The 26,829-nt window shown below is 43.9% G+C and overlaps 1 protein-coding gene across 2 annotated transcripts in view; it reads right to left on the reverse strand.

Annotated features, from left to right (window-relative positions):
• Positions 1-585: 585 nt before the first annotated feature.
• The window catches only part of TMEM192 (transmembrane protein 192), a 42,253-nt gene continuing 16,009 nt past the window's right edge, over positions 586-26,829 (reverse strand). Inside the window, exons 4-6 of one of the 2 annotated variants that reach the window (NM_001100389.2) lie at positions 18,446-18,580; positions 15,564-15,666; positions 586-9,774 (exon numbers count right to left, since the gene is read on the reverse strand). In NM_001100389.2, the coding sequence (NP_001093859.1) occupies positions 9,636-9,774; positions 15,564-15,666; positions 18,446-18,580 (377 nt within the window). In that variant the 3' untranslated portion in view covers positions 586-9,635. The remainder of the gene's footprint in view (positions 9,775-15,563; positions 15,667-18,445; positions 18,581-26,829) is intronic. The other variant, XM_011531718.4, reaches the window with a different exon arrangement.

The raw sequence follows: 26,829 nt of genomic DNA on the forward strand, positions 1-26,829 counted from the left end.
GCGCCACCGTACTCCAGCCTGGGCGACAGAGTGAGACTCCGTCTCAAAAAAAAAAAATTTTTTTTTTCAACAGAGAGAGGGTCTTTTCAACAGGAGGCTGGTCTCCAACTCCTAGGCTCAAGAGATTCTCCAGCAGTGGCCTCCCAAATTGCTGGGATTACAGACGTGAGCCACCATGCCCCGCCCCAATTTGAAATTTCTATCTGAACATCTAGTTCCTATATAATAACAGAAATGTCTTAAATATTTATTAATATGGGACTGGATTAGTAGGAGCAGAGCTCTAAAAGGTTAACAAATATTCCTGAATATATGTTTATATGCAATCGGCAATGGTACCTTTCCAATTGTATTTTAAACTGGTTCTTTTTGGTATGTAAGAAAATTGTTATCTTCATGTTTTACAGTCTGCCACCCTTGCTTTCTAATGGTTTTTCTTAAATTCTCTAGATGTCTAATGGTTAATTCTTAAATTTTCTAGATATTAATATATAACCATCCCATGCACAAATTAATCCTGCTCCTTTATCCAACTGTATTGATGGGCACTTTTGGACAATAGTAAATAGCAGTGATTATAAAAACTAGCAGTCTTATCTCTTTTATTTCTGATATGTTGTTATTTTTTAGTGTATCCTAGACATAAACTTTTAAACAAGACCTTAAAAAAATAATCTCTCAGTTCAGGACATCATAAACAGAAAGTGAAAACAGAGCCCAGGTTACAGCTGGATTACAGGAACAGGCTTTGAGCATGTGTGAGCATAGTTTTTCTACTACAATTCCAGTAGTGAAATCACTGAAGTTAGTGACATTAATTCATCAACGTATATTGAGTGCCTACTTTGTGCCAGACACTGTTCTATGTATGAAGGACACAGTAGTAAGCAAAAGATAGAGCTTACATTCTATCAGGAGACACAGACAAAGTAAACAAGTAAGTTACATGCAGTATTTTCCCCTTATCTACAGGGGAAACATTACAAGACCTCAGGTGATGCCTGGAGCCACAGGTCTGCAGGGGAATCATTGCAAGACCTCAGGTGATGCCTGGAGCCACAGATAGTACTAAACCCTACGAACACTATATTTTTTCCTATCCACACATAACTACAATAAAGTTAAATTTATAAATTAGGCACAGAGAGTAACAACATTAATAACAAAATAGAATAATTATAGCAATATACTATAATAAAAGTTACGTGTGGTGGTGTGGTGCACATCTATAATCCCAGCTACTCAGGAGGCTGACTGAAGTGGGAGGATTTTTTTTTTTTGGGGGGGGGACGGATTCTCACTCTTGTCACCCAGGCTGGAGTACAGCTGTGCGATCTTGGCTCACTGCAACCTCCACCTCCCAGGTTCAAGTGATTCTCCTGCCTCAGCCTCCTGAATAGCTGGGATTACAGACACGTGCCACCACGCCTGGCTAATTTTTGTATTTTCAGTAGAGACAGGGTTTCATCGTGTTGGCCAGGCCGGTCTCCCAACTCCTGACCTCAAGTGATCCACCCACCTCAGCCTCCCAAAGTGCTGGGATTACAGGGGTTAGCCACCACACCTGGCCACAAGTGACATTTGAACAAAGACTTGAAAAAGATATATGGGAGTTGATCCTTCCAGGCAGAGGGAACAGCAACCGCAAAGGTCCTCAGGTAAGAATGTGCTTAGCAATCCAAAAGCCACAGTGTGACCGACGCAGGGTACACAAAGGAAGAGTAGGAGAGAGGAGGTGGGGTGGGGTGGGAAGTGGAGATTTTCTAGGTCCCTGAAGGCCACTGTCCAGGCTTTGGCTTTTACTGAATGAAAAAGGGAACCATCAGAGTAGTGTTTTAGAAGGATATTGTTGGCTGCTTTTTGTGTGTGTGCATGGGGCTGGGGGGTCAGGGTGGAGAGGTAGTGAGAAGCAGAAAGATCACTTAAAAGACTCTTATAGGCCAGGTGTGGTGGCTCATGCCTGTAATCCCAGTACTTTGGGAGGCCAAGGAGGGAGGATCATGAGGTCAGGAGTTCCAGACCAGCCTAGTCAGCATGGTGAAACCTCGTCTCTACTAAAAATAAAAAAAGCACACCTATAATCCCAGCTACTCAGGAGGCTGAGGAAGGAGAATTGCTTGAACCTGGGCAGCGGAGGTTGTAGTGAGCCGAGACTGCGCCACTGCACTCCAGCCTGTGCGACACGAGTGAGACTCCATCTCAAGAAAAAAGAAAGAAAGAAAAAGAAAAAGAAAAACACTATTATAATAGGGCCAGGCACAGTGACTCATGCCTGTAATTGCAGCACTTTGGGAGGCCAAGGCGGGTGGATGACCTGAGGTCCGGAGTTCAAGACCAGCCTGGCTAACATGGTGAAACCCCCTTTCTACTAAAAATATAAAAAAATTAGCTGGGTGTGGTGGTATGTGCCGGTAATCCCAGCTACTCAGGAGGCTGAAGCAAGAGAATCACTTGAACCTGGGAGGCGGAGGTTGCAGTGAGCCCAGATCGCGCCACTGCACTCCAGCCTGGGCAACAGAGCGAGACTCCCTCCCCCAAAAAAAAAAAACAAAACCAAAAAACCGAAAGACTATTATAATAGTCCAGGTGAAGATTATAGTGGCTGGGGAAGTAGCATTGGGGGTGCCAAGAATTGGTTGGACTCTGGGTATGTTTTAAAGGAAAAGCCAGCAGGATTTGCTGATTAACTGTCTATAGGGTTTGAGAGAAAGAGGAGCTGCCATTACAGGGGTGGAAGAGACTGTGGCAGATAGCTCAGCTGGGGACATGTTCTGTTTGAGGTGTTTTTTTATATACCCAAGTAGTGATCTAGAAGGGGCAGTTGGACACATAAGTCTGGAGTTCAGGGAGGAAGGCCTGGCTGAAGATTCACATTTGGAAATTATCAGCTCATAAATTCTATCAAAGTCATGAGATTGTGTGAGACCACCAAGAGAGTGAACGCTGATGGAGAAGCCAAGAGGCCCAGGGGTTGAGCCCTGGAGAATACCAACAAAAAGCAACTTGCAAAGCAGACAAAAGAAGAAGCTAGTGAAGTAGAAGAAAATGAGGAGAATGTAGTGTCCTGGAAGCCAAGCTGAAATAAAGAGTCAAGGAGGAAGTGATCAACTGTGGGGAAAAGAGAGAGATCAGATTGTTACTGTGTCTATGTAGAAAAAGAAGACATAAGAAACTCCATTTTGATCTGTACTAAGAAAAATTGTTTCTGCTTTGAGATGCTGTTAACCTATAACTTTAGCCCCAACCCTGTGCTCACAGAAACATGTGCTGTATTGGATCAGTTTAATGGATTTAGGGCTGTGCAGGATGTGCCTTGTTAACAATATGTTTGCAGGTGGTATGCTTGGTAAAAGTCATCGCCTTTCTCCATTCTCGATTAACCAGGGACACAATGCACTGCGGAAAGCCGCAGGGACCTCTGCCCAAGAAAGCCTGGGTATTGTCCAAGGTTTCCTCCCACTGAGACAGCCTGAGATACGGCCTCGTGGGAAAGGAAAGGCCTTACCATCCCCCAGCCCGACACCTGTAAAGGGTCTGTGCTGAGGAGGAGTAGTGAAAGAGGGAGGCCTCTTTGCAGTTGAGATAAGAGGAAGGCTTCTGTCTCCTGCTCGTCCCTGGGAATGGAATGTCTCGGTGTAAAGCTGACCATTCCCATTCGTTCTATTCTGAGATAGGAGAAAACTGCCCTGTGGCTGGAGGCGAGATATGCTGGCAGCAATACTGCTCTGTTACTCTTTGCTACACTGAAATGTTTGTGTAAAGAGAAACGTAAATCTAGCCTACATGCACATCCGGACACAGTACCTTTCCTTGAACTTATTCATGATACAGATTCCTTTGCTCACGTTTCCCTGCTGACCTTCTCCCCACCTGTTGCCCCGCTACACTCCCCTCGTCAAGATATTAAAAATAATGATCAATAAATACTAACAGAACTCAAGAGACCGGCGCCGGTGCAGGTCCTCGCATGCTGGGTGTGCTGGTCCCCTGGGCCCACTGTTCTTTCTTTATACTTTGTCTCTGTGTCTTATTTCTTTTCTCAGTCTCTCGTCCCACCTGACGAGAAATACCCACAGGTGTGGAGGGGCAGACCCCCCCTCAATCAACTGAGCCAAGTGTTGCTGATAAGTTAAAAGAGGAGACGTATGCATTCATCTCCAATTTAAGCAATGTGGAAGGAAGCTATTGGTGACCTTGCCAAGAACAGTTTCAGTAGAGTAGTAGAGTGAAAGGTGAGACTGGATAGAGAGGAAGGGAGAAGAATTAGAGATAGGCTTCCCTGGTTTGCGAATGAAACAATTTTCCTTAGGAAACCTAGAGAATGTTTTGAGATCTCAAATTTGTGATTGTCACATATTCAAAGTTTGATTCTTCAAGAACTCAAGAGTTTACCAGATGTGAGTTTTGTATTCAAGATTTATTTATTTATTTATTTATTTATTGAGACAGAGTCTCGCTCTGTCACCCAGGCTGGAGTGCAGTGGTGCGATCTCGGCTCACTGCAACCTCCACCTCCCGGGTTCAAGCAATTCTCCTGCCTCAGCCTCCTGAGTAGCTGGGATTACAGGTGCACTTCACTGCACCTGGCTATTTTGTATTTTTAGTAGAGACGGGGTTTCTCCATGTTGGTCAGGCTGGTCTCGAACTCCTGACCTCATGATCCGCCTGCCTCGGCCTCCCAAAGTGCTGGAATTACCGGTGTGAGCCACTGCGCCCAGCCTTAATTTTGTATTTTTAGTAGAAATGGGGTTTCTCCATGTTGGTCAGGCTGGTCTCGAACTCCTGACCTCAAGTGATCTGCCTGCCTTGGCCTCCCAAAGTGCTGGGATTACAGGCGGGAGCCACCACGCCCAACCAGAAGATTCTAGTTGTTAAGAAAAAGAATATCCTGGGACAATAATAAGCAAAGGACTTGAATATACATGTCATAAAAGATTTATAAAAGACCATATAATTTGGAAAAAATGTTTAACACTTCATTAGTATCCAAAGAAATACAATTTGAAACAATGACACACTCATCAGATGGGTCAAGACTTAAATAAGGTAACACCCACTATTGGTAAGGGTATGGAGACCAGGTGAGCTGGCTCATGCCTATAATCCCAGCATTTTGGGAGGCCAAAGCAGGTGGATCACCTGAGGTAAGGAATTCAAGATCAGCCTGGCCAACATGGTGAATCCCCGTCTCTACTAGAAATACAATTTTTTTTCTTTTCTTTCTTTTTTTTTTTTTGTGATGGAGTCTCGCTCTGCTCTGTCGCCAGGCTGGAGTGCAGTGGCACCATCTTGGTTCACTGCAATCTCTGCCTCCCAGGCTCAAGCAATTCTCCTGCCTCAGCCTCCTGAGTAGCTGGGATTACAGGCGCGCACCACCACACCCAGCTAATGTTGCTAATATTTTTGTATTTTTTGTAGAGATAGGGTTTCACCATGCTGGCCAGGATGGCCTCGATCTGCTGACCTCGTGATCTGTCCGCCTCGGCCTCCCAAAGTGCTGAGATTACAGGTGTGAGCCACCGTGCCCAGCCGAAATACAAAATTTTTAGTATTTTTTTTTTTTTTTGAGATGGAGCCTGCTCTGTGGCCCAGGCTAGAGTACAGTGGCGTGATCTTGCCTCACTGCAACCTCCACCTGCTGGGTTCAAGCAATTCTCCTGCCTTAGCCTCCAGAGTAGCTGGGATTACAGGCACCCTGCACCACACCTGGCTGATATTTGTATTCTTAGTAGAGATGGGGTTTCACCATCTTGGCCAGGCTGGTCTCTAACTCCTGACCTTGTGATCCACCCACCTTGGCCTCCCAAAGTGCTGGTATTACAGGCGTAAGCTACCACACCCGACCCAAATTTTTAATATTTTTGTACTAAAAAATAGTGGCATGCATCTGTAGTACTAGCTACTTGGGAGGCTGAGGCAGGAGAATTGCTTGAACCCGGTAGAAGGAGGTTGCAGTGAGCCCAGATCACACCACTGCACTCCAGCCTGGGAGACAGATGAGACTAAAAAAAAAAACAAAACAAAAAAAGTGTACATTGGTATAATCCCTTGGTAGTGAGATTTCAAATAATTGTTTTGCTTTATATTTTTCCATATTGCCATTTTTTAAAAAATGAGCTTTTAACTTTATAATAAGTCATGATACTGTTGTCATTTGGAATACATATACATACATATATACCTATATCTATCTATATACCTATACACATACATACTTATAATAAAAGGTTTACTATACCTGCCCTAGTTCAGGGCCATATCTTTCTGCCACACATATTTCCTCCATATTGAACTACCATCTGATCCTGCTGAAACTAAAACTGACATTGTCACTTCCTTGCTTGAAATGCTTCAGAGGATCCCATTATCAACAAGATAAAGTGCAGTCTTCCAGCATAGTATCAAGGCCCTCCAAGCTCTGACCCTGTCTACCTCTCCACCCAGGTCCTGCCTCACACTTTTGGTTCCAGCTATACACAGTGCTTGTGATATTTTGTAGCTATTTGCCTTCCTACTTTACTCATTGTTCTGTCTGACATTCTTAAAACCCTCTACCCTCCTGCCCCCAGGGTACCCCCTGACGTGGAGCTCCTACAGCATGTTGGGCCTACTGTCATTACTGCACTTAGCACAGAGTCTGGAAATCTATTCCTCGCTCTCTTTAGAATGTAAGCTGCCAACCAGAGTCTTTAATTTTTGTATCCTCAGTGCTAGCACAATTACCAGCCTGGTGAATAGAATGTTTAACATTTAAATTGTTTTGTTCATTTTTCTGTTTTGTTACTTCTTTTTTTTTTGAGATCGAGTCTAGCTCTGTTGCCCAAGCTGGAATGCAGTGGTGCAATTTCAGCTCACTGCAACCTCTGCCTCCTGTGTTCAAGCGATTCTCCTGCCTCAGCCTCCTGAGTAGCTGGGATTACAGATGCGTGCCACCATGCCTGGCTTATTTTGTATTTTTAGTAAAGATGGGGTTTTACTATGTTGGCCAGGCTGGTCTTGAGCTCCTAACCTCAGGTGATCCACCTGCCTCAGCCTCCCGAAGTGCTGGGATTACAGGCGTAAGCCACTGCATCAGCTGTTTTGCTACTTCTGATACTTAGTTTCATTTTCATTTATTGTTTGAAATGTTCATCATTGCATTCAGAAAAATGTTGATGATTATACAACAAACATGTTGATGATTACATAAGAACATAGGCACCCTAACTTTTTAACTACACTGTTCCTTGTAAACCAAAGTTCATCCTATAAATCTCAGATACTGACTATAGATCCAAATTAAATTTTAAAAATAAATAAGAGTTAATCATCTACCACTGGTGTTCCCTTTTGAAAAGAAAAACAACTGAAGGCAAAGTTTATAGGCTCTTCCAGAACAGAGAAACAGATTTCTAGAGAAGGCAATGGCTTTGAGATACATACACTTATTAAAAAGAAAGGAAGGCCGGGCACAGTGGCTCATGCCTGTAATCCCAACACTTTGGGAGGCCAAGGAGGGCGGATCAAAAGGTCAGGAGTTTGAGACCAGCCTGGCCAGCATGGTGAAACCCCGCCTGTACTAAAAATACAAAAATTAGCCAGGCATGGTGGCATGTGCCTGTAATCCCAGCTACTCAGCAGGCTGAGGTAGGAGAATTTCTTAATCCCGGGAGGCGGAGGTTGCAGTGAGCCGAGATCATGCTACTGCGCTCCAGCCTGGGCAACAGAGCGAGACTCCGTCTGAAAAAAAAAGAAAGAAAGAAAGGCGCCATTGCACTCCAGCCTGGGCGACAGGGTGAGACTCTGTCTCAAAAACAACAACAAAAAAAAAAACCCCCAAAAAACAAAAAAAAACGGAAGGGAGAAAGGAAATTTTAAAAATACAATTTGGCTTTAGTTTGTGAATGTTGTGTGCAGGTGACACACGATCTTTTTTTTTTTTTTTTGAGAGACAGTGTCTCATTGTTGCCCAGGCTGGTCTCAAACTCCTGGCCTTGAGTGATCCTCCTGCCTCAGCCTCCCAAAGTACTAAGATTACAGGCATGAGCAACTGCTCCCAGCCATACACAATCATCTTTATCTTAGTAGAAAACTTTTAGAATGCCCCGGCAATGGCTGTATCTAAAAGAAACAGGTATTTGCCCTCCATAAGTCAAATAGATGTGGCCAAATCAATATATCCCTTGCCTATATAGTTATATCGAACACATCCCTATATGGTTACATATCAAATATTGAATATTCAGCTAATGATCAAAAAAGATTAACACAGTCATAAATATCCCCTCCCCTCATATTCAGCCTTCAACCAAAAGTCTTTCTAAGGCAGCATATAACAGTGCTAACAGCAAACTGACAAATTAAAGGGGCATACTAGGAAAAATGGAGAAATAATGCCATTTGCTCTGAAAAATACTTCAGTTTTATCTTCAGAATCAGATATGTTTAATATCTGCATATAACTTAATATGCATTTCTTCCATTACAATTTTTAAGTATAATCCAAGGCTTTAAAAGGTATCTTTTTTTTACAGTAATTTAAAATTATAGAAGATGCCTTTCCTATAATTGAAGTTATTGATCAATTGAAGGTATAACCAGACTGAAATATACAGCAACTTCTTGAAGAATGGCAAAAATAAAGTGAAAGTTCTAAATTCTTCTCTGAATTTTTCAGCTATTGCTAATGGAAGGTGCTGCCAATATAATAGGCAACACAGGTTCGTCTAACACAGGTCGGTCTAACACTGGTCCAAGTAATCAATCATCATATCTTATTTCTTTTCTTTTTCTTTTTTGTTTTTTTGAGACGGAGTCTCGCTCTGTCGCCCAGGCTGGAGTGCAGTGGCGTGATCTCGGCTCACTGCAAGCTCCGCCTCCTGGGTCCACACCATTCTCCTGCCTCAGCCTCCCAGGTGGCTGGGACTACAGGTGCCCGCCACCATGCTCGGCTAATTTTTTTTGTATTTTTAGTAGAGACAGGGTTTCACCGTGTTAGCCAGGATGGTCTCAATTTCCTGACCTCATGATCCGCCGTGCCCAGCCCTTATTTCTTAAGAATAGAAAACTGTAGGAATTTGCATAGTAGATCACCTGGTGAGACCTCAGTCCTATGGTGAGAAAAATTCTCTATAAAAGCTATATGGTCCATGATGTCATCCAACACCACATAAGCATATAAAATACATGATAAGGCTCTCCAGGAAAAAATATTCACAAGAAATAATGACTTCTTTCATCAGCTTAAAAGTGGGAAGAACTTATTTGATTAAAACCCTGTTTAAAATCGATTGTCTTGTTAGACTTCCCCTATCCATAATGAAATCATTACAGGGTTCTAATGTCAGGTGGAAAAGTGTTGACTATGGAGTTGTTTAGCCTCTGATCCTAGGATAAACCAAGCAGTTAAATAATTTCCAAAAGTACAAACAGACATTCCCCTCAAGTTATCCGGGCTTCTACAGGTACTTTTCAAGTGACCCACAAGCCCTATATTTTAAACAGCCACAGAAGTCAGAACCAAATTCAGGTTTCCAACAAACACTGTAAAATGCTATTCAGCAAAAGCTGCAGTTCCCCGTGGCAGCTTGTCAGGTGGTCAGTCAGTCTCAATTACTCTGGGTTCCTCTGCAATTGCTGTCATGACCGTGAGCCTCTCACGTTCTACTTGGCTGACAGCCCAGGTCTGAGGAAGTGAGAGCCAACAATCGCTTACTCAGCAGCGCATTGTGTCGCTTCAGGTATTCAATGGTGTCTCCTTGCTTTTCAACAATTTCTTCTAGGCTTGAAATAGTTCTGCAAGTAATCAAGATATAAATGGGTTACACATATTCACCAATACTCATTAGTGTCTTTGCAAATGAGTACCTACTAGTTTTTAGTAAAGCATATTGTATTTGCCACCTTTTCTTAGATGTCAGAAGCCAGGGTAATATTGCCAAATAAGATTATTTTCATAAATCATTTTAGTAACTTCTACTCTTGAAATAAATTTAAAATGCTATAAACTTTCACACCTCTATGTTTTAAAAAAGGCCATCATTGCTTTATTTAAGAAGGATCCTAATTTGTTAGAGTAAGATAATTGAGTATAAGTAATCAACTTAAATGGCGTTTAAAGATAAATAAAGGCAAAATTCATTCAATAATCAGATGACGATTAAAATAGACTACTCTGACCATGGGAAACAATTTTTTAAATGTATGGCATTTGTTTATTTTTGCATTTCTCCTTTTTTCTCCCATACCACAAAAATGTATCTTTTTGCACCTGACACAAATAAAAATATTATATAAGTATATAAAACAAACAAAAAAAATCTAACTCCTTCCTACACTACTGCCCCAACCCACTTCGGTCTCACTGCTCAGAAGTAATAGCTATAAAGTGTTTTTAATTTCCTTCCACTAATTTAAGATATTAGTACTAGGAATAGTGATGATGATAATGATAATGACAATAATATGCCAGATGAATTTTAATGTTGACTAAAAATTGCCTATTCAAGAAATAAAATGTTATTGGATGTGTTTTACTCAGATATTCTATATGTGCTAAAAGGGAACTATTTCAAGGGATGGTAAGTGAGAAATTCAGCATGAAAAATATCACATGGGAATGGTCCCATGTGAACAAAAAAGATTTATTCTTAGAAATAAATAGTTATGCTTATAAATAATGTGGTTACAGGAATGGGCTATGTAACCACATTACTATTATTATTATTTTTTGAGACAGAGTCTAGCTCTGTTGCCCAGGCTGGAGTGCAGTGGCATGATCTCTGCTCACTGCAACCTGCACCTCCTGGGTTTAAGCGATTCTCCTGCCTCAGCCTCCCAAGTAGCTGAGATTACAGGCGCCTGCCACCATGCCCAGCTAATTTTTGTATTTTTAGTAGAGACAGGGTTTTACCATGTTGGCCAGGCTGGTTTCAAACTCCTGACCTCAGGTGATCTGCCCGCCTCAGCTTCCCAAAGTGCTGGGATTACAGGTGTGAGCCACCGCGCCCAGCCAATAACCACATTATTTATAAGCATAACATGAAAAAAACTTTGAATATGCTATTATTTATAAGTATATTCGGAAAAAGACTATCTGAATTCTAATCCTGACTTTGTCACCCACAGACTGTGTGAACTTAATAAGTTACCTAAACTCTCTGGTCTTCAGAGGTTAACACAACAACAAACATTTAGCACTTAATATGTATAAACCACCTAGGAACCTCCCACTCTTTTTTTTTTTTTCTGAGCTGGGCTATTCACTGAAAAAATACTCTTTATATAAAGGTTTTCAAGTTATCTTGATGGAACTGAGAAGGGATATGCTCTGAGTAGAGTCAACTCTTGTATATACTGACTTTTTTTTTTTTGAGACCGAGTCTCTATTTTTTTTTTTTTGAGACGGAAACTTGCTCTGTTGCCCAGGCTGGAGCACAGTGGTGCGATCTCAGCTCACTGCAAACTCCGCCTCATGGGTTCATGCCATTCTCCTGCCTCAGCCTCCTGAGTAGCTGGGACTATAAGCGCCCATCATCACGCCCGGCTAATTTTTTTTTTTTTGTATTTTTCAGTAGAGATGGGGTTTCACCATATTAGCCAGGATGGTCTCGATATCCTGACCCCATGATCCACCCGCCTCGGCCTCCCAAAGTGCTGGGATTACAGGCGTGAGCCACCGTGTCCGGCAGAGACCGAGTCTTGCTCTGTGGCCCAGGCTGGAGTGCAATGGCGCAATCTCGGCTCACTGCAACCTCTGCCTCCCCGGTTCAAGCTATTCTTCTGCCTCAGCCTCTAGGATTACAGGCATGTACCACCATGCCCGGCTAATTTTTGTATTTTTAGTAGAGACGGGGTTTCACCATGTTGACCAGGCTGGTCTCAAACTGCTGACCTCAAGTGATCCACCCTCCTTGGCCTCCTATAGTGCTGGGATTACAGGCGTGAGCCACCATGACTGACCATCTTCTTTTTTTTTTTTTTTTTCAACACAGAGTCTCACTCCATTGCCCAGGCTGGAGTGCAGTGGCATGATCTCGGCTCACAGCAACCTCCGCCTCCAGGGTTCCCGCGATTCTCCTGCCTCACCCTCCCGAGTAGCTGGGACTACAGGCGTGCACCACCACACCCAGCTAATTTTTATATTTTTAGTAGAGATGGGGTTTCAGCACGTTGACCAGGCTGGTCTTAAACTCCTGACCTCAAGTGATCCACCCGCCTCAGCCTCCCAACGTGCTGGGAATACAGGCCTAAGCCACCACACCCAGACCTGGACATCGTCTATATACAGTAGACTTTCAATTAACATCCCTGTTCCCTGCCCTATGTTCCACTCCTGGGCATCCTGTTCATTTCTGAGTTCCAAGTCTCTCTGGGGCTACACAAAAAGAGTGGCTGCCTCCTTGGCTTTATTTCTCCCCGTGTCCTCTAAATGTAGCCTCTCTGCCCTGTGGTATTGTCTACCGCTCCTTCATCTGTATTCTGTAGCCCACACATTTTCAGAAATCACTCAACCATCGATGGTCCCTTTCTCCTCCAGTTTTTCTGCTAGTGTGGGTAGGTTGGTCTTTTTTAATCCTTCACTATCCTTTTGGAAGGATCTGGGGAGGGTGAAGGGATAAACGTGTGGCTAGATTTACCTTCTTTCATTGGAAGTTGATTCAAATTTTCAAACTGAGATGCATTTTCAAAGAAGCATTCCATACAAATTTTAAAAGTAAAAGAGGAATATAAACTGAATTTTTTTTTTTTTGGAACAAAGTTTCACTCTCGTTGCCCAGGCTGGAGTGCAATGGCGTGATCTCGGCTCACTGCAACCTCTGCCTCCCGGGTCCAAGCGATTCTCCTGCCTCAGCCTCCTGAGTAGCTGGGATTACAGGTGCGCACCACCACGCCCGGCTAATTTTTGTATACTCAGTAGAGACAGGGTTTCACCATGCTGACCAGGCTGGTCTGAACTTCTGACCTCAGGTGATGCACCCGCCTCGGCCTCACAAAGTACTGGGATTACAGGCGTGAGCCACCACGTCCGGCATAAACTGAATTTCATTGCCCCAAAGTTAACCCCATGAGGTGAAGGGAATACATTTTAAAAAGCTTTCCATTAAGTCATAAGAGAGCAATATTAGGTAAACTCTTCAGTGCTCAGGGGGAACAAGATGAAATATGAAAAGGGTCAAGGTCAGGAAGAACAGTCTCTGAATTTAATAAGCCCAAAAGTCAACAAAGAGATAATCAACAATTGATACTAAAGTTATTCCTCTATTTAGGTTAGAATGAAGAAAAAGAGTAAACAAAATAAGAAGGCAGATCATGGTAAGTGAAAAGTGACAAAAAAAAGTTGTATTTTCTAGGGGAAAGAATCTATTTCACTAAAGACACCTCCGTTTTCATAGTTCTGTACGTATTGAGAATTATAGACAGTATAATCCAGGCTTCAAGAAACCGAGGGTAAAGGATTCTAGAACTATCAAGATATCATCAGTTTACACTGTGGGACAGAGATAACGATCCCAAGAAGAACAACCTTGGACTTGCTGCTCATTAAGTGTTTGTTTTTGTTTTTTGTTCTTTTTTCTTTTTATTCATTAAGTATTTATATTCCACACTATAATAAAAAGCAATGTGCATCCTGATTCAACACTGTCACACCTGTGTTGTCACTTCACACCTGTGCCTAACAACAGTTCAGTTTATAAAAGCTAATTTAAAAATGACACTAATTCAAAAATTGGCCTTACTAAAAGCCAATACATTAAACTATATTTATTTCAACAACTGTTTTTAAAAGTATCTCTTTCCTTTATCTATAAAGTTTTTTGTTGTTGTTGTTTTGTTTCGAGACAGAGTCTTGCTCTGTTATCCAGGCTGGAGTGCAGTGGCGCAATCTTAGCTCACTGCAACCTCCGCCTCACAGGTTCAAGCGATTCTCCTGCCTCAGCCTCCTGAGTAGCTGGGACTACAGGTGTGCATCACTTTGCCCAGCTAATTTTTGTATATTTAGTAGAGATGGGGTTTCACCATATTGGTCAGGCTGGACTCAAACTCCTGACCTCGTGATCTGCCCACCTCAGCCTCTTAAAAGTGCTAGGATTACAGGCATGAGCCACCGCGCCCAGTCATGTTTTTTTCTTTTTCTTTTTTTAACTAGTACATCAGTAATGGCACTGAGTCCATTTCTTAAGCCCCTAAGTAATACACTTTCTTTTTTTTGTTTGAGATGGAGTCTCGCTCTGTTGCCCAGGCTGGAGTACAGTGGCGCCATCTTGGCTCACTGCAACCTCTGTCTCCCGGGTTCAAGCGATTCTCCTGCCTCAGCCTCTCAAGTAGCTGGGATTACAGGTATGCGCCACTGTGCCTGGCTAGTTTTTGTATTTTTAGTAGAGATGGGGTTTCATCATGTTGGCCAGGCTGGTCTTGAACTCCTGACCTCAGGTGATCTACCCACCTCGGCCTCCGAAAGTGCTGGGATTACAGGCGTGAGCTGCCCCACCTGGCCCACACTTTCTTTATATATACTGACTATATTCTTATGTCTGTTGCTATCCACTTCAGATGATGTTAAGGAATAACTCGTGTCCCAGATTATATAGATCCAAAAGCAGGATGAGAAGAACCACAGACATGGCCAGGAGTGGTGTAATCATGCCTGTAATCCCAGCACTTTGGGAGGCCGAGGTGGATGGATCACTTGAGGTCAGGAGTTTGAGACCAGCCTGGCCAACATGGTGAAACCTTGTCGCTACTAAAAATACAAAAATTAGCTGGGCATGTATAGTTTTTTACATCTACTTTAGCCCCAAGATCTCCAACAGATATGAATGATATTTTAATTACCATGGAAGTCACTTAGGGAGAGACTGGATAGAAACAAGGGTGGGCAGACCGGGCTGGCTGTTTGGGAGGCTGAAATGGGAGGATTGCTTGAGCCCAGGAGTTTGAGGCCAGCCTGGGCAATACAGAGAGACTCTATCCCTTAAAAAGAAAATAACAGGCCGGGCGAGGTGGCTCACGCCTGTGATCCCAGCACTTTGGGAGGCTGAGGCGGGCGGATCACCTGAGGTCAGGAGTTCAAGACCAGCCTGACCAACATGGAGAAACCCCATCTCTACTAAAAATACAAAATTAGCCAAGCGTGGTGGTGCATGCCTGTAATCCCAGCTACTGGGAGGCTGAGGCAGGAGAATCGCTTGAAACTGGGAGGTGGAGACTACGGTGAGCCAAGATCATGCCACTGCACTCCAGCCTGGGCAACAAGAGCAAAACTCCATCTCAAAAAAAAAAAAAAAAAAAAGACACCTATAAAAAAAGGTGCTTCAAGGAGGGAGTAACCAGTTAATGATGTCAAAAGCTCTTGAGAGGTTAAATAGGTTGGCTAAGTGGTTAATTTTTTGCATCAAATATATGGCCTATTTAATACATTTACACATCCTGATTTAGACTTGATTTCACCACAGCTGAAAGGAAATAAACAAATCAAACAAATGTAAAAGTACAAATACACAATCATAAATTCCAAGCATCAGAATGGTTTCTAGCTTTCTAGGGGAAAAAACTCAATTATTTTATTCTCACCTAAATCTTACCTGAATCCAGTCTCCGAGGTAATATTGCTGGGGTAAGCATAGATTTTTTCTTCTTCAAGTATATCAGGCTCTGGTTTAGCTTTATTAAATCTCCGGATTTTCACTAAAATAATAAAGTCATTATTAGATCGAATTCTGAAAGACAAGTCTAGTTTCATTTTTTCAAATTATGCTAATTTGCCGTTCTTATTAACGTCCTTGAGTATTTCAAATTCTACTATGTGCCAGGCCTGTTCTAAGCCCTGGGAATATAGGGATTACATTAGTATTGAAATAGCAATAATAGCTGACATTTATTGTGCACTTAGAACACATGAGGCACAGTTTAAATGTTTTACATGGATGCCCTCATTCAGTTCTCATAAACACCTGCATGAAGTGGATGCTCCTATTACCCCGCAGTGAAGCCCAGAGAAGTTGAGCAACCAGCCAGCCATCTAATTCAGAAATCATGACTTCCTCTGGTCCAGGGGAAAATACAGATAATAATCCTACATTCTAAGACAGTATGGAAAGTACCTTCAATAGAAGCTTGTGCAAGAGGCTTGCACAAGGAGTTGTCAAGCTGCTTTTTGGCCTGGAAAGCAGTGCCTAACTCAACAGGAGGTATCAGAGAGGGGAAAAGAGGATAGAGTTTGAGCCCAGGAATTAATCACACAGACTAGGAGAATAAAGAAGGGTGCTTCAGGTGCAGGAGGAGTCTGAACAAATGCTATGGTCTTGAGAAGCTACACGTATGTATGGGTGTGAGGGTGTATGGACAAGGGGTGGGTTGGGAAGATAGGCAGAGAATGCATCAGGAGTGGCTGGTGTGTCATGCAAGGCATTTACACTTTTTTTTTTTTTTTTTTTGAGACGGAGTCTTGCTCTGTCGCTCAGGCTGGAGTGCAGTGGCACAACCTTGGCTCACTGCAACCTCTGTCTCTGCCTCCTAGGTTCAAGCAATTCTCCCACCTCAGCCTCCCGACTGGGATTACAGGCGTGCACCACCACACCCAGCTAATTTTTTTTGTATTTTCAGTAGAGACGGTGTTTCACCATGTTGGCCAGGCTGTTCTCAAACTCCTGGCCTCAAGTGATCCACCCGCTGAGGCCTCCCAAAGTGCTGGGATTACAGGCGTGAGTCACCAGGCCCGGCCTAAGACATTTAGATTTTATCCTCAGAGCAACTGGCAGTCTTTGAAAGGATCTCACCATCATCCCTGAAGAGCAGGCTAGGTAGAGGCCATTCAAGGAGAACCTTTCAGGCTGGGCATGGTGGCTCATGTCTGTAATCCCAGCACTTTGGGAGGCCGAGGCGGATAGATGACCTGACATCCGGAGTTTGAGACCAGCCTGGCGAACATGATGAGATGCTGTCTTTACTAAAAACACAAAAATTAGCTGGGTGTGGTGGTAGGCGCCTATAATCCCAGCCACTCAGGAGGCTGAGGCAGGAGAATCGCTTAAACCCAGGAGGCGGAGGTTGCAGTAAGCTGAGATCACGCCATTGCACTCCAGCCTGGGTGACGAGAGTGAAACTCCAACTCAAAAAAAAAATAAAGAAAATGCCTTTTATGCCACATGAAAACGTTAGATTTTTTTTCCTTCAGCTATTAGAAAACTCTGGGCAGGGAAGCTGTTAACAATCAGAGTTAAGTATAAACAAGATCATGTTGGCAGGAATAAGAAATATGAATCAGTGGACAGAGGGAAAGAGACCTGTTATGTGTCTCCTGGATGTAGCCATGCAAGAGATGATGAGTACCTAACCAAGGCAGTGGCAGGGACCAAAGAAAAGAGACAGAGCTGAAAGACAGGTAGACTGAATAAGACTGATGACTGACTGATCACCAATCCTATCCAGTTCTTGGGGAGTGAGGTAGAAGGAAGAAGGTAGATGACTCCTACGTTTCTAGGATTCTGATTTATCAAGTGGATGCAGGCTGGTATTGTTAACTGAGCTAGAAGAGGACGGTTAGGATGGAGGGAAATTTTGAAGAAAATTATGTTCTGTTCACTTCTGATCTTGTTGGTGCCTGTGGGACATGTGGATGAAAACTTCATTAAGCAGATGAATATATACAATTTGGGGCTGGGTGCGGTGGGTCATGCCTGTAATCCCAGCACTTTGGGAGGCCAAGGCGGGCGGATCACCTGAGGTCAGGAGTTAGAGACCATCCTGGCCAACATGACGAAACCCCATCTCTATTAAAGTGCTAGCCTCCTAAAGTGCTAGGATTACAGACATGAGCCACTGTGCCTGGCCTATTTCTTAATTTTTAATTTTAAATGCAAGCTGACATTTCAGCTGCCTTCAGAGAAGCAAAAGTTTGTGGATGTTTTTGTTGTTGTTGTTTTAGGAGACAGGGTCTTACTCTGTCACCCAGGCTGGAGTGCAGGCATGTGATCTTGGCTCACTGCAACCTCTGTCTCCCAGGCTCTAGTGATCCTCCCACGTCAGCCTCCTGAGGGGCTGGGACCACATTTGTGCACCACCATACCTGGCTAATTTTTTGTATTTTTTGTAGAGATGGAGTTTCATCATGTTGTCCAGGCTGGTCTTGAATTCCAGAGCTCAAGTGATCCTTCTGCCTCATCCTCCCAAAGAGCTGGGATTACAGGCTTGAGCCACCATTCCCAGCCCAAAAAGTTTGTGTCTTGTTTTAATGGAAAAGTTTCACTTGCATTAACAAAAATTTATTAATGACACAATCTTAAAAGAATGGGGTCTCACTGGTGGTGGCTGTACCTTCCTGTTGGTTTGAAATTAAAGAAGTCTGCATGTGGTCACCACTCAGATACACAGAGAACTTCCTTGTCGCTAATGGGCTATACTTTAAACTGGGAGGAAAGGAAGCAGTTCGAAGTTCCTATAAGAACAGGCTCGTTGTAATTCTCACCTGTGTAAATGAGGAGACATATCAGGGAACAGATGAGTTCCAGTGCCAAGATGGCCAGAATGAGGTCAAGATACAATCTGCCAGGCTCTGGGAAGGAGTGCTGCATGCACAGTATGAGGAGAAGCACTGTGTTGCCTGAGGAGGAGAAACATAAAACACAGCATGTGATGAGAAATACATATATGGTCTTTGTCCAATAGATAGTTGGTCTTTGTCTGGTTCCTTACACAGAGCTCCTAAAACACTTGTAATTTCCTGAGTGATCAGAGCCTTCAGAAATGAAGACCCAGGCCAGGTGCAGTGGCTCACACCTGTAATGTCAGCATTTTGGGAAGTCAAGACAAGAGGATTGCTTGAGCCCAGGTGGTCGAGACCAGCTTAGGCAACATAGCAAGACCCCATCTCTATAAAAAAATATAAAAAATTAGCCAGGCATGGTGGCACACATCTGTAGTTCCAGCTACCTGGGAGGCTAAGGTGGGAGGATTGCTTGAGCCTGGGAGGTTGAGGCTGCAGTGAGCTGAGGTCGTGTCACTGCACTCCAGCCTGGGCAACAGAGCAAGACCCTACTGCAAAAAAAAAAAAAAAAAAAAAAAAAAGGAAAAGAAATGAAAGACCCAGAGAAAACTATTCTTATGCTTAGGTTTGATGAAGAATGGACAGCCATGTAGAAATGTGAGTGGACAAAGTATGATCTACTGGGAATAGACTGAAGGGGCAAACCCAGCAAGACCTGTCTATTCAGGTTCTTCTCGGCCTCTCTGTGTAGACTCCTCACCCCCAACCCTCCTGCCATATAGGGCAGGACCCCTCTGAAATAAGGGTCTTCAAGGGAAAAGGGTAAAGGGAGAAAGGGTTCTCTTTTTTTTTGGAGACGGAGTCTCACTCTGTCGCCCAGGCTGGAGTGCAGTGGCGCTATCTCGGCTCACTGCAAGCTCCACCTCCCAGGTTTCACGCCATTCTCCTGCCTCAGCCTCCCGAGTAGCTGGGACTACAGGCGCCCGCCACCACGCCCGGCTAATTTTTAAAATATTTTTAGTAGAGACAGGGTTTCACCGTGTTAGCCAGGATAGTCTTGATCTCCTGACCTCGTGATCGGCCCGCCTCGGCCTCCCAAAGTGCTAGGATTACAGGCGTGAGCCATTGCACCCAGCCGAAAGTGACCTTTCTAGATTTTATGGCCTGCTTTGGGAGAGAGGAGTCTAGTTTCTATGGCCTGCCTTTGGGAAGAAGAGTTCTGGTTTCTATGACTGGCCAGGGGAGAAAGAAGGACAAGAAACAGGAGGGCCGGAAGGCAGAGAGACTTTGCTTCTGAGCCCCTCCCAATCTTCTTTAGTTTGGAGTACTCAGCATGCCAAAGCCCTGCACTTTGGAGTATGGTGTTCTGAATCCCAACAGGTATATTTGGTTTTTGTATAGAGTTCCTAAAACCCTTGGAATTTCCTGATAGAAGTGTCTTTTAGGCCAGGCGCGGTGGCTCACGCCTGTAATCCCAACACTTTGGGAGGCCAAGGTGGGTAGATCACCTGAGGTTGCGAGTTCGAGACCAGCCTGACCAACATGAAGAAACCCCATCTCTACTAAAAATACAAAATTAGCTGGGCGTGCTGGCATATGCCTGTAATCCTAGCTACTTGGGAGGCTGAGGCAGGAGAATCACTTGAACCCGGGAGGTGGAGGTTGCGGTGAGCCAAGATCGTGGCACTGCACTCCAGCCTGGGCAACAAGAGCGAAACTCCGTCTTGGAAAAAAAAAAAAAAAAAAAAAAAATGCATGGTGGCAGGACACGCCTGTAGTCCCAGTCACTTGAGAGTTTGAGGTGGTAGAATTGCTTGAACCCGGGGGGCAGAGTTTGCAGTGAGCCGAGATCACACCACTGCACTCCAGCCTGGTGACAGAGCGAGACTCCATTTCAAAAAAAAAAAAAATCTATTGAACAATGAGTTCTGATGAACTTCTGGGTTGCCAGGAGGGTGGTGCACCCCAACTCCACGTGGACAGAAGCTCCTGTACTTGGGACCCTGCTGGACCTCACGCAATGTACCTCTTCATCTGGCTGTTCATCTATCTCCTTTACAACAAACCATAAAACATAAAAGTGTTTCCCTGAGTTTTGTGAACCATTCTAGCAAATTACAGAACTCAAGAAGAGAGGGGCCAGGTGTGGTGGCTCACACTTGTAATCCCAACACTTTGGGAGGCTGAGGCAGGTGGATCACTTGAGGTCAGGAGTTCGAGAGCAGCATGGCCAAGATGGCGAAACCCTGTCTCCACTAAAAATACAAAAACTAGCTGGTGTGGTGGTGCACATTTGTAATCCCAGCTATTTGGGAGGCTGACACAGGAGAATCACTTGGTCCCGGAAGGTGGAGGTTGCAGTGAGCTGAGATCGTGCCACTGCACTCCAGACTCCAGACTGGGCGACGGAGAGAGACTCTGTCTCAAAAAAAAAAAAAAAAAAAGGTCATAGAAACCCTAGTATATAGCTGGTAGGTCAGAAGTACGGGAAGCATAGTGGCCAGGCACGGTGGCTCAAGCCTGTAATCCCAGCACTTTGGGAGGATGAGGCGGGCGGATCACAAGGCCAGGAGATTGAGACCATCCTGGCTAACACAGTGAAACCCCGTCCCTACTAAAAATACGAAAAAAATTAGCCAGGCGTGGTGGCGGGCGCCTGTAGTCTCAGCTACTCAGGAGGCTGAGGCAGGAGAATGGCCTGAAACCCGGGAGGCGGAGCTTGCAGTGAGCTGAGATAGCGCCACTGCACTCCAGCCTGGGTGACAGAGCGAGACTCCATTTCAAAAAAAAAATACAGAAGTATGGGAAGCATGGTCTTTCAATTGACATCTGAAATAGGGAGAGTCTTGTGGGATTGAGCCCTTTAATTTGTGGGATCTAAGACTAGAGCCCTTTCATTTGTGGGATCTAAGACTATCTGAGGATAGATGGTGCTATAATTGGATTATGTTGAAGGACACCCAGATGGTTTCTGCTGAAGAACTGAATTAAACTGTTGTAGGGAAAACTCCACACATCTAGTTTAGTAAGAAGTGTTCTATGTAGGAACGTAGAAAAGCAGTTTTTTCAGACAACATGTTAGAGCTCAGCACTGACACCCACAAGGGCATACCCACACACAAAACTATTTATTCTTAGCAGCAAAGGAAGTTAAAGGATAAAAACAAAATACTCCTAAATTTTGGGGAAAATGGAAAAAAAATCTACACATCTAAGAGTTAATAATGGCCCATAATACAACTATATAAAAACCTGGACTTTCTTAAAAACTTAGGAATGATTTTTTGCTTTACAGAATTATTGACAATTACTTCCTTTAGGTACCCAGTGCAAGTAAAAAGTGATGCCATTTTTAGAAGTTTGCATTTAAGACACAAAAAAGAAACAAAAAGTTTCCATTAGACCAGTTCTTCAGGACCCACATGGTGGGAATCCTAGGAGCCCATTCTGGTCACCTGGTACAGCAACAGCAGAACTAAAGAATGATTAAGAGTATGCCCATGATCCAGACTACCTGGATGAAAATCCAGGACAAGTTACCTAGTATCTCTGCTCTTCCATGTCCCCATCTAAAAAATGGGGATAACAGTACCTTTCTCACAATGCTGTTCTTTCTTAATGCTGTTCTTTTTTTTTTTTTTTTTTTTTTTTTTTGAGATGGAGTCTTGCTCTGCTGCCCAGGCTGGAGTGCAAAGGTGCAATCTCAGCTCACTGCAACCTCTGCCTCCTGGGTTCAAGTGATTATCCTGCCTCAGCCTCCTGAGCAGCTGGGATTACTGGCATGTGCCATCATGTCCAGCTAATTTTTGTATTTTCAGTAGAAACGGGGTTTCACCATGTTAGCCAGACTGATCTTGAACTTCTGACCGCAAGTGATCCGCGAGCCTCGGCCTCCCAAAGTGCTGGGATTACAGGCGTAAGCCACCGCACCCGGCCCACAGTGCTGTCCTAGGGAGTGAGTTAGTATGTAAAAAATACTTAGAACAGTGCCTGGCCTGTAAATATTCAATAAATATTACCTGTTTGCACCCCCTACCACACACTCAGCATATCTATTATTTACTTATGAGGACCATTTTAAACTCTTTTTGCACTTTTATTCTGACAAATATCAAAGAGAAGTTTAGGGGCAGACTCTGTAGCATCTTATCTTAGATTTTTCTAAAGCTTATTTAACATATTTATGTGAGTCTGATCCTGAGAGGGAAAACGCTGTTTTCATTTATCTTCTATTGCTTGATACAAAAGAAATGATTGTGAGCCAAAGATCCTTGCTGAAAGAACCCCCATCCAAACTAACTACACAAGCCTAGGAGTTTGAGGCTACACTGAGCTATGACAGCACAAATGACATAGCTACACTGAGCTATGACAGCACTCCAGCCTAGGCAACAGAGCGAGACCTTGTCTCTTAAAAAAAAAATAATAAAAATAAATAAAAAAAGTTTTGACAAAATATCACTGGATTAAAAAAAAAAGTAACAACACAAAGCTACCTTCTAGCAAGCCCACTCACCCAATGACCTGCCACAGTATATTAGCATATTGACAGATTCTTTGTAAATCAGTTTTGTGAACAAGATAAATACAGTTTTATGGTTTTTTTTTCTTCTTTTTTTTTTTTTTTTTGAGATGGAGTTTTGCTCTGTCACCAAGGCTGGAGCGCGGTGGCACGATCTCAGCTCACGGCAACCTCTGCCTCCAGGGTTCAAGTGATTCTCCTGCCGCGGCCTCCTGAGTAGCTGGGATTACAGATGCCCGCCACCATGCCTGGCTAATTTTTGTGTTTTTAGTAGAGACGGGGTTTCACCATGTTGGCCAGACTGGTCTCGAACTCCTGACCTCGTGATTCACCCGCCTCGGCCTCCCAAAGTGCTGGGATTACAGGTGTGAGCCACCGCGCCTGGCCAATACAGTTTTACAACATTTAGGAAAGAAATACATGCTAGGAAAAAAAACTTCTGCAGAGAAATGAAAGAGTTTTCAAAGGATTTTCAAGGTACTGGGCAAATCCTATGTACTAGCAAGTTTGCAGTCTGGTGGGAAAGCCATACTGAAATAAAACATTCCTTATAATGGTATGTGCTGTGGACATTACACAAGTACCCTCCTTGAAGAAGACCACCCTGTACAATATCTTAGTTCAGATGAAAGTCACTTCACCTCTGGGTTACCACACCAGCCTCCTTATCAGTTTTGTGCTAACCAAATACACTCTCCAGTTATACAGTTATACAGTAATAGTCTAATAATGGTGACTTTTTTTTGAAACAGTCTTACTCTGTTGCCCAGGCTGGTGAGATCTCAGCTCACTGCAACCTCTGCCTCCCCAGTTCAAGCAATTCTTGGCCTCCCTAGTAGCTGGAATTACAGGCACCCGCCACGCCACCATGCCCAGCTAATTTTTGTATTTGTTTTGTTTTGTTTTTTTGAGTCGGAGTTTTGCTCTTGTTGCCCAGTTGGGAGTGCAATGACATGATCTTGGCTGACTGTAACCTCCGCCTCCCAGGTTCAAGCGATTCTTCTGTCTCAGCCTCCTGAGTAGCTGGGATTACAGGCACCTGCCACCATGCCTGGCTAATTTTTTGTATTTTTAGTAGAGAGGGGGTTTCACCATGTTGGCCAGGCTGGTCTCGAACTCCTGACCTCAGGTGATCTGCCCGCCTTGGCCTCCCAAAGTGCTGGGATTACAGGCGTGAGCCACAGCACCTGGCCTAATTTTCGTATTTTTAATAGAGACAGGTTTTCACCATGTTGGCCAAGCTGGTCTGGAACTCCTGGCCTCAAGTGACCCGCCTGCCTTAGCCTCCCAAAGTGCTGGGATTACAGGTGTGAGCCACCATGCCCGGCCTAGTTTGGTGTTTTTTAAATGATTTTATAACCATAGACATAGTCTAAGTGCTTTTTGTTTTACATCACTCACCGTTTTAAAGATTCTAGGCTGGCGGTGGCTCCTGAGGTCGAAAGTTCAAGACCAGCCTGACCAACAGGGAGAAACCCCATCTCTACTAAAAAAACAAAATTAGACGGGTGGGGCGGTGCATGCCTGTAATCCCAGCTACTCGGGAGGCTGAGGCAGAAGAATCGCTTGAACCCGGGAGGCGGTGGCTGCAGTGAGCTGAGATCGTGCTATTGCACTCCAGCCTGGGTGACAGAGCGAGACTCTGTCTCAAAAAAAAAAAAGAAAAGGAAAAAAAGAACATTCTAGGCCAGGTGCAGTGGCTCACGCCTGTAATCCCAACATTTTGGGAGGTCAAGGCAGGTGGATCAGTCGAGGTCGGGAGTTCAAGTCCAGCCTGACCAACACGGTGAAACCCTGTCTCTACTAAAAATACAAAATTAGCTGGGCATGGTAGCGCACACCTGTAATCCCAGCTACTCAGGAGGCTGAGGCAGTAGTATCACTTGAACCCAGGAGGTGGAGGTTGCAGTGAGCCAAGATCGCACCACTGCTTTCCAGCCTGGGCAACAAGAGTGAAACTCAGTCTCAAAAAAAAAAAAAAGATTCTAAGGTTAATGCTTGCTATTCATTAAGAATATTTGGAAGAAATAAGTTCCTGTGGGCTGGGCGGTCCTGTAATGACCACAGGCTGAGAGCTACCATGCCTGGGCTCCAGTGTAGGATCTGATGCCTCCTAGAAACGAAACCCATGATCTCACCCAGACCTGGACTCCTACACTATAAGATGGGGGAAATAATGCTTATCACACAGGGTTCTGGTAGGAAGAAATGAACTAACAATGCCTAAGTAGACATGTAGTAAATGCCATATATCATTATTATTATTAAAACAAGAATTCTGATTTTCAATTCCAGGCACATGCTATGCAGCCCCTCCTCTAAACAAAACTCACAGGGGACTTGAAGTCAGATGCTATGCTACAGGAGAGACCCAGCTGCTCTGGCTTACCCCAGGGCACCAGGCCCAGACATCAGTGAGGACTCCAGCAGGCATTTCTACAAGTCAACTAAGACAGTCTCTGGCCCTCCCAAAGAATGTGGGCCATGAGAACTAGAGGTGAGCAGGAAGGACACAATCACTATGCCCTCGGGTCCTACAATTCCTGCCAGGAATTCCTTCCAGAATTTACCTTCAAGAGCAGTTTCCTTGAACTGCACTTTTGCATGTCCTCAGCCTCTGGCTTTACACTTTTAGGCCCCAGAGAGACTGACTGGACCCACATGATGGGTTGAAAATTACTATTTTCAGTGAAGGACCAAGTTTTCATTTCAATGTGAAAAAAGCCCCAAATATGCAACTTGGCTATGTAACTAATAATACTTGATTTTTAAAAATTTTTTTTTAAAAATGGAGTCTCACTCTGTCACTCAGGCTGGAGTGCAGTGGCGCCATCTTCGCTCACTGCAACCTCCACCTCCCAGGTTCAAGCAATTCTCCTGCCTCAGCCTCCTGAGTAGCTGGGATTATAGGCGCCCACCACCACCCCAGTCATGCCCAGCTAATTTTTTTTTTTTTTTTTTGTATTTTTAGTACAGACAGGGTTTCACCATGTTGGCCAGGCCTGTCTTGGACTCCTGACATCAGGTGATCTGCCTGCCTCGACCTCCCAAAGTGCTGGTGTTACAGGCGTGAGCCACTGCACCTGGCCCAAATACATTTTGAACTCAAATATTATTAGGCCGGGCGCAGTGGCTCATGCCTGTAATGCCAGCACTATGGGAGGCCAAGGGGAGCGGATCACCTGAGGTTAGGAGTTCGAGACCAGCCTGGCCAACATGGTGAAGCCTCGTCTCTACTAAAAATATAAAAATTAGCTGTGTGTGGTGGTGCGTGCCTGTAGTCTAGCCTGGAGAGGCTGAGGCAGGAGAATCAGTTGAACCTGGGAGGCAGAGGTTGCAGTTAGCTGAGTTCATACCACTGCACTCCAGCCTGGACAACAGAGCAAGACTCTCAAAAAAAAAATTATATATATATATATGTATTTGGATCTAAGGAAGGAGAACAGATTAATCAGGTAAATATTTTCACTTGGTAGGAAAGCAAAGCCCTTTCTCCCATCTCCACCCAAAGGTAAATAATTTTTTTTCTTCTCTGGAAAATAACAAAATATATCAGGCTGAAGTTAATATTATCAGTACTGTTATCTGTAAGTCCTACATCCTACATCTCCATAGATTTATCTTTTTTTTTTTTTGCAAATAAGAAAAAATATTTTAAAAAATAGAAATAAGGTAAGTACCTGCTCCATTCCGTTTGATTTTCTGGGTTTTCACATGAGCCACATAAACGTGATATCACCTGTGATTCTAAAGGTCCAAGTGTTCAGAAATAGATTATGATTACGGCTCACATGTTTAACAAAAATTTGAAAGGCAGATTTTGGAAAGGTAAAGATCAAATAAT

This window comes from Homo sapiens, chromosome 4, assembly GCF_000001405.40.
Source record: "Homo sapiens chromosome 4, GRCh38.p14 Primary Assembly".
Lineage (NCBI taxonomy): Eukaryota > Metazoa > Chordata > Mammalia > Primates > Hominidae > Homo > Homo sapiens.